The following is a 14,398-nucleotide window of genomic DNA, read 5'->3' on the forward strand; positions in this document are numbered from 1 at the left end:
ATGGCATTAATGTTTCCTGGGTCAAGGAATACTTTCCTGATGGCTGTTTTTGGCCCTTTAAGCCACAGCAATGGATAGAGATCTTCTTGAACTTTTCATTGAGACACAAGGAGAATTGCTTCACATTCCCAATTTTCAGCTAGAACAGGACTCAGGGTTACAAGAATGGACAACCCCAGTTCTGTCCTATCTCAGAAAGGTAATGTTTGTCCCAAAATAACTGAAAGATCCCAAATATCTCTCAGGAAAGGAACACTCTCCAGCCTCACCATAGACTATCCCAAAGATAGCTCCTGAGGCTGCCTTAACTTTCTTATTAGTCTTCAAAAAAAATTGTGTATTAAGATTCAACTAATAATGACTGTACATCTATCTTGTGTCATACACTGTGCTAACCACCTTACATGCATTTTCTTATTTAATGCAAGGACTCTAACCTTCCTCTATAAAACATTACTATTTGATGGAAACACTTTAGTGACCATTCTTTAATGCAGTAATTGTTTCAACGATCCATCATGCAGTAATTGTTTCAATGATCCATCATGGTCAAACCATCATCTAAGCTGAAAGACTGAAATGACAAAATTAAAAAATTAATATAGAAAGTTAATAAGAAGAAACCCTTATAACTGTCTTCCACTCACACATCCAATCACAGATTAACTGAGACTTTTCCAATCCCTCCAGAAAATGTATTGACTTGATACCAGCAGTATGTTGACTCTCATGACTAGTATGCACACATATGCCCTACTAATCACAGGGATTATACCAGTTGAGTTAAATTTTAAGCAGTCAGTGAAGTTTGTTTCCAAATTATTAATGTCAGTTGCACTTGTTATTATAATTATGTACTTGAATTTTATTGTATTAAAATTATGTAATGTAATTTAATATTCTATTAACTGACTGATGAGATGAAGAAAAAAGGAGAGTTGTTTCTATGAAAGCTCAGCTTTTTCTTTTGGAAAGTTACAATAAAGTCAAGTTTCTAAAAAATACTAGAGTTGAATCACATCTGAGTGTAACAGCTTTTAAAAGACTGGAGAAAAGGTAAAATGCCAGAAGACTTACATTCTTTAATTTCTCTACAGAATGTCTTTAACATCTTGCTCAAGAAATTGAAAATTTTAGATAATTCATAATGGGTGAATTTTATACAAGGAAGACAACACAGTATTTCAATCAACAAACTCACATGGCAAGAAAAGAATTTTGCCTTACAATGAACGATTTACAAATGAATGCTCATTTACATTGCAAATAAAAGTAAAATGTTTAAGGTACTTAATATGTTAAAAATCGTTCCTCTTTTTAACCAACTTTTTGAGCACTTTTTATATGGTCACAACTGTTGAGTCCATGGAAATATTTAAGAAGATGTAACTTTTATTTGGAAGAAGGCATGTTCATAAAACAAACAGAAAATAAACAAGCTACCCCCACCAAGTGCTAGTATTGATTGCAATATTGTAAATTATAGTGTTATTATAAATGCTATAAAAATTCCAAAAACAAACACCAACGGTTCTGCAATAGTCAGGAAGCCTCCATGAAGGAAACGGGGCATAAGCTGAGTCTTGCCAGACTGGTGGGGAGTTGTTCCTTTTTCTGTAAATTGGGACTTTCAAATGATGAAATAAGATGAATTCAATTCAATAAAAATCTGGCATTACTTCGTGGTCACATCTTACCTTCTCATTGCTCTATAATTTCCATCCACCAAAATCTAGCAACTAATAACATACCTTATAGTCGCTGCTTGTTTATTTCCACCTCTCAAATTCCCATCTTACTGTTTTCCCTGTGAAAATTTCCCTTCATTAAATCTTTAATAACTTTTAGTTTGCCAATTCCAAAGGACTCAACCTCTGGCCATTTACAATTTGGACATCTTTTTCCTAGCCTTTATTGCTTTTTTCCCTAATTACAAAAAGATGTTCAAATAGCAGAGTAACTGTTCTAAAGATTTTATGATGCAAGTATTGAAAGAAACAACAAACTTACTCTAGTATATTCCACTTTTAGAAAACTATTCCTGGAATCCACATCACCGAGCCTCTTGAGTTCAAAAAAATTTTAAGTGCTATCAGGAAAGATAGGTAGAAACAAAAATTTCAGTGTTGTCTGTGCATATTCTTTTTATTTCCACACTTTTCATATTCTTCTCCTGGCTGTCAAAGGGTGGCTGTCTCCCTTCTTTCAAATGTCATATTAACTATCACCACCTGACAGAGGATTTGCTCAACCCACCAGCTCATCTAAGTACTGCCTGCCTCCACCATATTATTTGGTGTCACAGCGTACTCATACCCTGCTTATCTCCTTCTGAGCAGTTATCACCATCTAATTATTTTTATTTACCTATTTACTTGTTAAGTGTTTCCATTTTTTCTAGATTTTAAATGCTAGGAGAGCAGGGAGCATATCTGTTTCATTTACAAATACCTACACAGAGTTCTGCCTAGTGCCTAGCATGTAATATACTCAATAAACATTGAGTGAATGAATGATTTTGCAAAGCAGTCACTTTTAACTCTTTGGTGAATGCATTTTGAGAATTTTTCCTAGGAGAGCACATATATATATATTTTTTTCTTTACCAAAAAAAACCATGTTATGCATATTGTTTATCTATGTTGTTCACCTAAAATATCTCATAAACATCTGTCTGTGGCAGAAATTGCTTATCTTCATCCTCATTTGAACGCAGCAGAGGTCTCCAATATACGGAAGCTAACCAATTTTCTCTTTTTGAGCATTCAGAGTGGTTTTTAACTAACTCAGACATAGGTAGCCTCTGTTTTCTGAATGTGAAAGAAATATTGTCATGCTCTCGTAAGTTCCAAAATAACTATAAAAAAAAGAAATATTCATTCTCTTTTAAGACCATTCATTAACTGTAGTAAATTTCTCTTTTTACATTATGTTATCTAAGAACTCTTGTTTCTATCCCTTCCTACTTACCAAAATTATCGTACATTCTATTTTAGTATAGCTCTTCTGTGTGTTACTTCATTTCTCATATTATTTCAACAGTAGAGAAAAAAATAGTCATTTCCCCTATCAAACTGCAAGAATTTTCTACTCAAACTACACCATTTTTACTCAAACAGCAACACATCTTATTAACACTTATTCTATATGCCTCTCTTCCCCCTGTATTTTTTTTTATTATTATACTTTAAGTTCTAGGGCACAAGTGTACAACGTGCAGGTTTGATGCATAGGTATACATGTGCCATGTTGGTTTGCTGCACCCATCAACTCGTCATTCACATTAGGTATTTCTCCTAACGCTATCCCTCCCTCAGGCCCCAACCCTACAACAGGCCCCGGTGTGTGATGTACCCTGCCCTGTGTCCAAGTGTTCTCATCATTCATTTCCCACCTATGAGTGAGAACATGTGGTGTTTGGTTTTCGGTCTTTCTGATAATTTCCTGAGAATGATGGTTTCCAGCTTCACACATGTCCCTACAAAGGACATGAACTCATCCTTTTTAACGGCAGCATAGTATTCCGTGGTGTATATGTACCACATTTGCTTAATCCAGTCTATCATTGATGGACATTTCGGTTGGTTCCAAGTCTGTGCTATTGTGAATAGTGCTGCAATAAACATACGTGTGCATGTGTCTTTATAGTAGAATGATTTATAATCCTTTGGGTATATACCCAATAATGGGATTGCTGGATCAAATGGTATTTCTACTTCTATATCCTTGAGGAATTGCCACACTGTCTGCCACAATGGTTGAACTAATTTATACTCCCAGCAACAGTGTAAAAGCATTCCTATTTCTCCACACCCTCTCCAGCATCTGTTGTTTCCTGACTTTTTAATGTTTGCCATTCTGATTGGCATGAGATGGTATCTCATTGTGGTTTTGATTTGCATTTCTCTGATGGCCAGTGATGATGAGCATTTTTTCATGTGTCTGTTGTCTGCATAAACGTCTGCTTTTGAGAAGTGTCTGTTCATATCCTTTGCCCACTTTTTGATGGGGTTGTTTGTTTTTTTCTTGTAAATTTGTTTCAGTTCTTTGTAGATTCTGAATATTAGCCCTTTGTCAGATGGGTAGATTGCAAAAATTTTCTCCCATTCTGTAGGTTGCCTGTTCACTCTGATGGTAGTTTCTTTTGCCGGGCAGAAGCTCTTTAGTTTAATTAGATCCTATTTGTCTATTTTGGCTGTTGTTGCCATTGCTTTTGGCGTTTTAGTCACAAAGTCCTTGCCCATCCCTATGTCCTGAATGGTATTGCCTAGGTTTTCTTCTAGGGTTTTTATGGTTTTAGGTCTAACATTTAAGTCTTCCGTCCATTTTGAATAAATTTTTGTATAAGGTGTAAGGAAGGGATCCAGTTTCAGCTTTCAACATATGGCTAGTCAGTTTTCCCAGCAACATTTATTAAATAGGGAATCCTTTCCCCATTGCTTATTTCTGTCAGGTTTGTCAAAGATCAGATGGTTGTAGATGTGTGGTGTTATTTCTCAGGGCTCTGATCTGTTCCATTGCTCTATATCTCTGTTTTGGTACCAGTACCATGCTGTTTTGGTTACTGCAGCCTTGTAGTATAGTTTGAAGTCAGGTAGCATGATGCCTCCAGTTTGTTCTTTTTGCTTAGGATTGTCTTGGCTATGTGGGCTCTTTTGTGGTTCCATATGAACTTTAAAGTAGTTTTTTCCAATTCTGTGAAGAAAGTCATTGGTAGATTGATGGGGATGGCATTGAATCTATAAATTACCTTGCACAGTATGGCCATTTTCATGATATTGATTCTTCCTATCCATGAGCAGGGAATGTTCTTCCATTTGTTTGTGTCCTCTTTTATTTCGTTGAGCAGTGGTTTGTAGTTCTCCTTGAAGAGGTCCTTCACATCCCTTGTAAGTTGGATTCCTAGGTATTTTATTCTATTTGTAGCAACTGTAGATGGGAGTTCACTCATGATCTGGCTCTCTGTTTGTTATTGGTATATAGGAATGCTTGTGATTTTTGTACATTGATTTTGTATCCTGGGACTTTGCTGAAGTTGCTTATCAGCTTGAGGAGATTTTGGGCTGAGACAATGGGATTTTCTAAATATATAATCATGTCATCTGCAAACAGGGACAATTTGACTGCCTCTTTTCCTAATTGAATACTCCTTATTTCTTTCTCTTGCCTGATTGCCCTGGCCAGAACTTCCAACACTATGTTGATTAGGAGTGGTGAGAGAGGGCATCCCTGTCTTGTGCCAGTTTGAAAAGTGAATGCTTCCAGTTTTTACACATTCAGTATGATATTGGCTGTGGGTTTGTTATAAATAGCTCTTATTATTTTCAGATACATTCCATCGATACCTAGTTTATTGAGAGTTTTTAGCATGAAGGGCTGTTGAATTTTGTCAAAGGCCTTTTCTGCATCTATTGAGATAATCATGTGGTTTCTGTCATTGGTTCTGTTTATGTGATGGATTATGTTTATTGATTTGTGTATGTTGAACCAGCCTTGCCTCCCAGGGATGAAGCCATCTTGATCGTGGTGGATAAGCTTTTTGATGTGCTGCTGGATTTGGTGTGCCAGTATTTTACTGAGGATTTTCACATCAATGTTCATCAAAGATATCGGTCTAAAATTCTCTTTGTTGTTGTGTCTCTGCCAGGCTTTGGTATCAGGATGATGCTGGCCTCATAAAATGAGTTAGGGATGAGTCCCTCTTTTTCTATTGATTGGAATAATTTCAGAAGGAATGGTACCAGCTCCTTTTTGTGCCTGTGGTAGAATTTGGCTGTGAATCCATCTGTTCCCGGACTTTTTTGGTTGGTAGGCTATCAATTATTGCCTCAATTTCAGAGCCTGTTATTGGTCTATTCAGAGATTCAACTTCTTGCTGGTTTAGTCTTGGGAGGATGTATGAGTCTAGGAATTTATCCATTTCTTCTAGATTTTCTAGTTTGTTTCCATAGAGGTGCTTATAGTATACTCTGATCGTAGTTTGTATTTCTGGGGGATTGGTGGTGATACCTCCTTTATCATTTTTTATTGCATCTCTTTCATTCTTCTCTCTTTTCTTCTTTATTAGTCTTGCTAGCAGTCTATCAATTTTGTTGATCTTTTCAAAAAAACAGCTTCTGGATTTATTGATTTTTTGAAGGGGTTTTGTCTCTACCTCTTTCAGTTCTGCTCTTACTTATTTCTTGTCTTCTGTTGGCTTTTGAATTTGTTTGCTGTTGCTTCTCTAGTTCTTTTAATTGTGATGTTAGGGTGTTGATTTTAGATCTCTCCTGCTTTCTCTTGTGGGCGTTTAGTGCTATAACTTTCCCTCTACACACAGCTTTAAATGTGTCCCAGAGATTCTGGTAGGTTGTGTCTTTCTTCTCATTGGTTTCAAAGAACATCTTTATTTCTGCCTTTATTTTGTTATTTACCCAGCAGTCACTCAAGGGCAGGTTGTTCAGTTTCCATGTAGTTGTGCAGTTTTGAGTGAGTTTCTTAATCCTGAGTTCTGATTTGATTGCACTGTGGTCTGAGAGACAGTTTGTTGTGATTTCTGTTTTTTACATTTGCTGAGGAGTGCTTTACTTCCAACTATATGGTCAGTTTTGGAAGCTGGGTGATGTGGTGCTGAGAAGAATGTATATTCTGTTGATTTGGGGTGGAGAGCTCTGTAGATGTCTATTAGGTCTGCTTGGTGCAGAGCTGAGTTCAAGTCCTGGATATCCTTGTTAAACTTCTGTCTCGTTGATCTGTCTAATATTGACAGCGGGGTGTTAAAGTCTCCCATGATTATAGTGTGAGAGTCTAAGTCTCTTTGTGGGTCTCTAAGGACTTGCTTTATGAATCTGGGTGCTCCTGCCTTGGGTGTATATACATTTAGGACAGTTAGCTCTTCTTGTTGAATTGATCCCTTTACCATTATGTAATGGCCTTCTTTGTCTCTTTTGATGTTTGTTGGTTTAAAGTCTGTTTTATCAGAGACTAGGATTGCAACTCCTGCCCTTTTTTGTTTTCCATTTGCTTGGTAGATCTTCCTCCATCCCTTTACTTTGAGCCTATGTGCGTCTTTGCATGTGAGATGGGTTTCCTGAATACAGCACACTGATGGGTCTTGACTCTTTATACAATTTGCCAGTCTGTGTCTTTTAATTGGAGCATTTAGTCCATTTACATTTAAGGTTAATATTGTTATGTGTGAATTTGATCCTGTCATTATGATGTTAGCTGGTTATTTTGCTCGTTAGTTGATGCAGTTTCTTCCTAGCATTGATGGTCTTTACAATTTGGCATGTTTTTGCAGTGGCTGCTACTGGTTGTTTCTTTCCATATTTAGTGCTTCTTTCAGGAGCTCTTGTAAGGCAAGCCTGGTGGTGACAAAATCTCTCAGCATTTGCTTGTCTGTAAAGGATTTTATTTCTCCTTCACTTATGAAGCTTAGTTTGGCTGGATATGAAATTCTGGGTTGAAAATTCTTTTCTTTAAGAATGTTGAATATTGGCCCCCACTCTCTTCTGGCTTGGTTTCTGCAGACAGATTCACTTTTAGTCTGATGGGTTTCCTTTTGTGGGTAACCCAACCTTTCTCTCTGGCTGCCCTTAAAATTTTTTCCTTCATTTCAACCTTGGTGAATCTGACAATTATATGTCTTGGGGTTGCTCTTCTCGAGGAGTATCTTTGTGGTGTTCTCTGTATTTCCTGAATTCGAATGTTGGCCTGCCTTGCTAGGTTGGGGGAGTTCTCCTGGATAATATCCTGAAGAGTGTTTTCTAACTTGGTTCCATTCACCCCATCATTTTCAGATACATCAATCAAACGTAGATTTGGTCTTTTCCCATAGTCCCATATTTCTTGGAGGCTTTGTTCATTTCTTTTTACTCTTTTTTCTCTAACCTTGTTTTCTCGCTTCATTTCATTAATTTGATTTTCGATCACGATACCCTTTCTTCCACTTGATCAAATCGGCTATTGAAGCTTGTGCATGCCTCACAAAGTTCTCATGCCATGGTTTTCAGCTCCATCAGGTCACTGAAGGTCTTCTCTACACTGTTTATTCTAGTTAGCCATTCATCTAACCTTTTTTCAAGGTTTTTAGCTTCCTAGTGATGGGTTTGAACATGCTCCTTTAGCTTGGAGAAGTCTGTTATTACCCACCTTCTGAAGCCTACTTCTGTCAACCCGTCAAAATCATTCTCCATCCAGCTTTGTTCCATTGCTGGTGAGGAGCTGCGATCCTTTGCAGGAGAAGAGGCACTCTGGTTTTTAGAATTTTCAGCTTTTCTGCTCTGGTTTCTCTCCATCTTTGTGGTTTTATCTACCTTTGGTCTTTGATGTTGGTGACCTACAGATGGGGTTTTGGTGTAGATGTCCTTTTTGTTGATGTTGGTGCTATTCCTTTCTGTTTGTTAGTTTTCCTTCTAACAGTCAGGTCCCTCAGCTGCAGGTCTGTTGGAGTTTGCTGGAGGTCCACTCCAGACCCTGTTTGCCTGGATATCACCAGCAGAAGCTGCAGAACAGCCAATATTGCAGAAGGGCAAATATTGCTGCCTGATCCTTCCTCTGGAAGCTTCATCCCAGAAGGGCTCCTGCCTATATGAGTTGTCTGTCGGCCCCTACTGGGAGCTGTCTCCCAGTTAGGCTACACGGGGGTCAGGGACCCACTTGAGGAGGCAGTCTGTCCATTCTCATTCTCAGAGCTCAACCACTGCTCTGGGAGAACAACTGCTCTCTTCAAGCTGTCAGACAGGGACGTTTAAGTCTGCAGAAGCTGTCTGCTGCCTTTTGTTCAAATATGACCTGCCCACAGAGGTGGAGTCTATAGAGGCAGTAAGCTGTGCTGAGCTGTGGTGGGCTCCACCCAGTTCAAGCTTCCTGGCCTCTTTGTTTACCTATTCAAGCCTCAGCAATGGTGGACGCCCCTCCCCCATCCAGGCTGCCACCTCGAAGTTTGATCTCAGACTGCTGCAATAGCAGTGAGCAAGGCTCCATGGGCGTGGGACCTGCCAAGCCAGGCATAAGGGAGAATCTCCTTGTCTGCCAGTTGCTAAGACCTTGGGAAAAGTGCATTATTCAGGCAGGAGTGTCCCGTTTTTCCAGGTACAGCCTGTCCTGGCTTCCCTTGGCTAGGAAAGGGAAATCCCCCAACCCCTTGCACTTCCTGGGTGAGACGACACCCCACCCTGCTTCGGCTCATGCTCCATGGGCTGTACACACTGTCCAAACTGGTTGGACCCATCTTCTGCATCAATCACGCTGGGAGCTGCAGACTGGAGCTGTTCCTATTCGGCCATCTTGGAATGGATCCCTTCCCTCTACTATATTAATCATTAAATTTTCTTCTTCACATTTTAACACTTCCATGGAATTTTTTTTTAATTTTCATAGAGTACTCTTCCCCTTGTCTGACTTCTCTCAAGAATACTAAGGTGAAGTCTATATTTATAAGAATTATGCCCAGTATTTCTACCATACTATTTTTTTCTAAATACAGTATTTTTTTTATTTTGTGCTATATCAATGGATTAATTACGACTTAAGTCACTATCTCTAAGTCCCAGATGAGTTATTCATTAATTTCCTTAAATACCCAACGAAACTCTTTGACATCTCTCTGATCTAGACTCTCCCTTAATGACTCTGTTCTCCACTTCTTACTTACTTTCCGTTTTTCTTATGTCACTTCTATAATTAGAAAGAACACTGGGGCTACAAAATGTGGTCTTTAAACACCCAAAGGGCAAAAGCAAACATTCCATGAGAGTCAAAGAGAAACTGAAGCACCAAAAAAAGAACGATGACTTAGCCAAATTAACTCCCCCAGGAAATTATTTAAACTATTATGAAAGTGTTTTATAGTATGATAAGAGTAAAAAGCAAAAATGAAAAGACAGATATTCTGCTGCAAATTTTCTCTTGTAGTTAGGTAGATACATAAATATAGACAACTAGATGATAATTATCATATCAAGAAATGCTATTATACCCAAGCACATGGAGAAATTCCTGCCAATTTGGAATGTGAAACAAATTTAGTACAATAGAGCAATGTGCATATTGTCCTGCTGGAAAACTATTTGTTTAAACTAGGAAGTGGTAAATGACATCACATACACAAGGTTGATGGGTAAAATCACTTGCTGTGGAACCATGAAGATGGTAAATCCAGCACCACCCAAAAGGTGGATGCAAGGACTGCTCCTTGCACAGAAATCCTCCATCCACTAAGAAATGCCTTGCTTTTCATTTTTTCTCTCAAAGGAAACTTTCTCTTTTCTTTAATATCTCCATTTAGGCCAAAATATAAAATGTATCTACTTTCTTGCTTTTTTCAGCTATTCCTCGCTCATTAAGTTTCCTACTAAACATGTTATTGATTTTTAAAGTTCTAATAATTATATGAGTACTTTAGCTACTAAAATAGCCACCATTTTTTGAACTCCCACTATGTACCAGGCAATAGTAAGCATTTTCTATAAATAGCATTTTTTTATTCACAGAACAACTATATGAAGCAGAAATTATCCTGATTTTTACAGGAGAAGAAACTGAGCCTTAGGTGAAGGAACTTTGTCAAGGTCTCCCAGTTATTAAGGGGCAGAGGAAGACTTGAAACTCAGGTCTGATTTTCAACACATATATATTTTCCACATTATTCTGCCTTGTCTAGAAAAGTGATATTTTTGGCTGGGCGCAGTGGCTCACGCCTGTAATCCCAGCACTTTGGGAGGCTGAGGTGGGCAGATCACCTGAGGTCAGGAGTTTGAGGCCAGCCTGGCCAACATGGTGAAACCCTGTTTCTACTAAAAATACAAAAAAATTAGCCAGGCATGGTGGCACGCACCTGTAATCCCAGCTACTCTGGAGGCTGAGGCAGGAGAATTGCTTGAACCCAGGAAGCAGAGGTTGCAGTGAGCCAAGACTGCACCACGGCACTCCAGCTTGGGCAACAAGAGCGAAACTCCATCTTGAAGAGAAGAGAAGAGAAAAAAAAAGAAAAGAAAAGAGATATTTTGACAGCACACAAGCTAGGTACTCCTTCATTCAATGACATGAAAAAGCAGGCTTAATTCATTTTGTTGTCATTGAACCAATTCAAAACAATTACATACAATTTAAATTTGTAAGGAAAACATAAATTTATAAAATGAATGCTTTATGCCTTTGGAATGCATATGATATTGATAATGATCCATTGCTATCTGAGTTTTAAATTTTGCCATTTTTCTGCCTGAATCATTTGGAGATCAGGTAGAAGTTCAAGCCAAATTTTATTGAAAAATAGGCAAAAATTTCATCTATATTCACTAACCCCTAAAGAAGCTGAAATTTTCCCTTACCATTGATCCATTGCAGATTTTTTATCATGTTCCCTCGTACTAAATCAAAATAAATGAGGCCATGTCTAGCAGTTAAGCACTCACTGTCCAGATGTTTGCACTCAAGTGCACCCAGCTAAAAGTAGATAAGATTCATGTTCAAAATCCTTCTAGAAATACTTCCTCATTTAGTGCTAGTTTAATGTGAAAAGTGCTAAGCCATATCTTATATTGTAGAATTGCCTTCTTCTAACAATAGAGAAACATTTTATTAACCAGCCAAATTATTTTCCACCTACTGGAAAGTCTCTCGTAAAATTATTCCCCCTAGTGATAACAAGAGCTGGAGCCAATGCCAATCCTCTGAAATGATAGCCACAATAATCCACTACAAAAATGATTACATGAAGTTTGCTTTTAGGAAATAATGCAAAAGTAAAAATTACTCAAATTAAACAATTGATGATTTCCCATTACAACCATCCACAGAAATATTTATGATGAATATCTTCACTATATTTAGAGTGGTAAAATGCTCCTCTCTAATTATAATAACTAAACCATTCCATCACTGGAAGAATACTGTGGCTAATGTCAACATTATACAGTGAATCTTAGCATTACAAAACACCAGTGAGTTCTACAAACTTCTATTTGTAAAAATTGAACTATGTTAGGCACCATGAGGCATAGAAAGATAAACAAGAGATTCTACCTGCCATTCAGGTGTCTATTAGAAGGATTCTTAAAATCTGTGCACTAAAAATTTAACAAAAAATTGTTAAATATATACGAGAGGCACAAAGAAAATGCCATGAAAAACCGAAGTGTTTGTTTCAGGTGAGAAAAAATCAACAAAAACATAATGAAAGAGTTAGTGTATGTGCCTCCACTTTCAGTTTGGGTAGGCTGTCAAGAGGTGAAGAGGAGGATAGAACAATGTGGGCAGAATAGGTAAACAGGAGAGGAAGAGACAGGTTTGACTAAGGCCTCAAATTACAAAAGGGACAGACATACATAAGGAATCTGAATACAAATGTAGACATTATAAGATCACTCCGGAAACGGAAGAAGCTTGAGAGGTTCTCATTTTCCTTTGAGTCCTTTGAGCAAGAAGTATATGCTCTAACTTATCCTTAAAGAAGTCACTGCACAAAGGGCCAAGATCAATAATCTGGAGAGATGACAGACTGGCAAAAAGACTCCTGCGATTGTAAAAGTCAAAGGTGTAGAAAACCTAAAATAAGGCAATGACCAAACATAATATTATAAGCCACTTAATCTTCCCATATCTCAGTTTATCAGTTTGCTAAATACAGACAATACATATGTTACATCCTACAAATAATTGAAACATTAGCAATGAAAAGTTTATTAACTAAATTCAAAAATTCAAAACAATGCATATCAAATTTAGATTCACCACAAAAAAACTTAACACTACTTAGAAATTTAGTTTGGTATATCTATAAAGAGCTTTTAACATTCATAATTTTCTAAAACAATGCTAAACTCATTTTGAAACTGAATTAAAGGTAACTTTTAAAAAATTACATATTGGCCGGCCGCAGTGGCTCACGCCTGAAATCCCAACACACTGAGAGGCCGAGGCTGCGGGATCACCTGAGTGATCACAGGAGTTCGAGACCAACCTGGCCAACATAGGGAAACTCTGTCTCTACTAAAAATACAAAAATTAGCTGGGCGTGGTGGCACATGCCTGTAATCCTAGCTACTCAGGAGGCTGAGGCAGGAGAATCACTTGAACCTGGGAGGTGGAGATTGCAGTAAGCCGAGATCACACTGCTGCACTCCAGCAAGGGGGACAGGGCAAGTTTCTGTCTCAAAAAAAAAAAAGTTACATGTTAAGTGTGCTTAAATTCTCTCAAGCTAATATTTAGTATTCATCTTATTGCAGTAAAAGTTGTTCACATTTTAGCAAGAGCTTTGGAAAATAGCGCTATTCAAACTGATGCATTTTTTTTAGCATTGGAGTTGCTCAGCTGAAAATGTATGTATTTGGAGTTTTTATTTTTATATATAAATAATTTGTATATTTGAATTTCTATCCTCTTCAGTTCCTGTGGTATGCCACAAATGTTTGGTAAGATTTAAAGTGTTAAATCTTTAAGATACTAGATGATCTTAGAAGTGGAAATCTATTATACATTTGTGAACTAACAATTAGTCTATGTAACTACAAATTAATATGAAATTGCCGGTTCAGTTACTGGGAGTATAAATGTTAGAAAAAATACTGAAATGCTTTGCAAAGTGGCTTATGAGTTTAAACCTGCTAGTGATTTTTCAAAAGGTGAATAGGAATAATTCTTTCTCTCACTTCATCTTGTTATAACAAGAATAAAAATTCCACAACAGTAATGACCATTTATTTTTAATCATAAAGAAGAATTGTACAAGATATGTGTAAAGAAATTTTGCTGAGACATTAAAAGACTTAAGTAAATGTACATTGACCATATTTCTGGATTGGAAGACTCAAAATTGAAAAAATATTAATTCTCTGCAAAATAATATGTGAATATTAATAGAATACCAAATAAAATTGTAAGAAAATTTGGGAGGAGAGACAACTCAAAAAAAATAATTCCCAGTTTGATTAGAAGAATAAAAAACATGAAAATTGAATACCCAGAAATTTTCTGAAAAAGAAGAATGATAACAGAAACTTATTCTGCCAGGTTTTTAAATACATTTTAAAGTAATAGGCTGAATGTGGTGGATCATGCCTGTAATCCCAGCACTTTGGGAGGCCAAGGTGGGTGGATCACTTGAGCCCAGGAGTTTGAGACCAGCCTGGGCAACATGGCGAGACCCCATCTCTGCAAAACATGCAAAAAAATTAGCCAGGTCTGGTGGCACACACCTGTGGTGCCAGCTACTTGGGAGGCTGAGATGGGAGGATTGCTTGAGGCTGGGAGGCTGATGCTGCAGTGAGCTGAGATGCCGCTACTGCACTCCAGCCTGGGTGACAGAGCAAGACCCTGTCTCAGTAAGTAAGTAAGTAAGTTACAAAAATGAAAAGGGCTTGACAAGGGAGCCAGAAAATAAAAGAAACACAACAGAATAAATAAGTGGTTAAT

At 37.5% G+C, this 14,398-nt stretch overlaps 1 annotated feature.

Annotated features, from left to right (window-relative positions):
* Window positions 8,401-8,901: an enhancer, noted in NCBI's record as "H3K27ac hESC enhancer chr3:23077142-23077642 (GRCh37/hg19 assembly coordinates)". NCBI's record gives its function as "activates a minimal SCP1, AML or CMV promoter by ChIP-STARR-seq in primed H9 embryonic stem cells {active_cell/tissue: H9 hESC(primed)}" and the evidence as "EXISTENCE:reporter gene assay evidence [ECO:0000049][PMID:30033119]".

The sequence above is a fragment of the Homo sapiens genome, chromosome 3, assembly GCF_000001405.40.
Source record: "Homo sapiens chromosome 3, GRCh38.p14 Primary Assembly".
Lineage (NCBI taxonomy): Eukaryota > Metazoa > Chordata > Mammalia > Primates > Hominidae > Homo > Homo sapiens.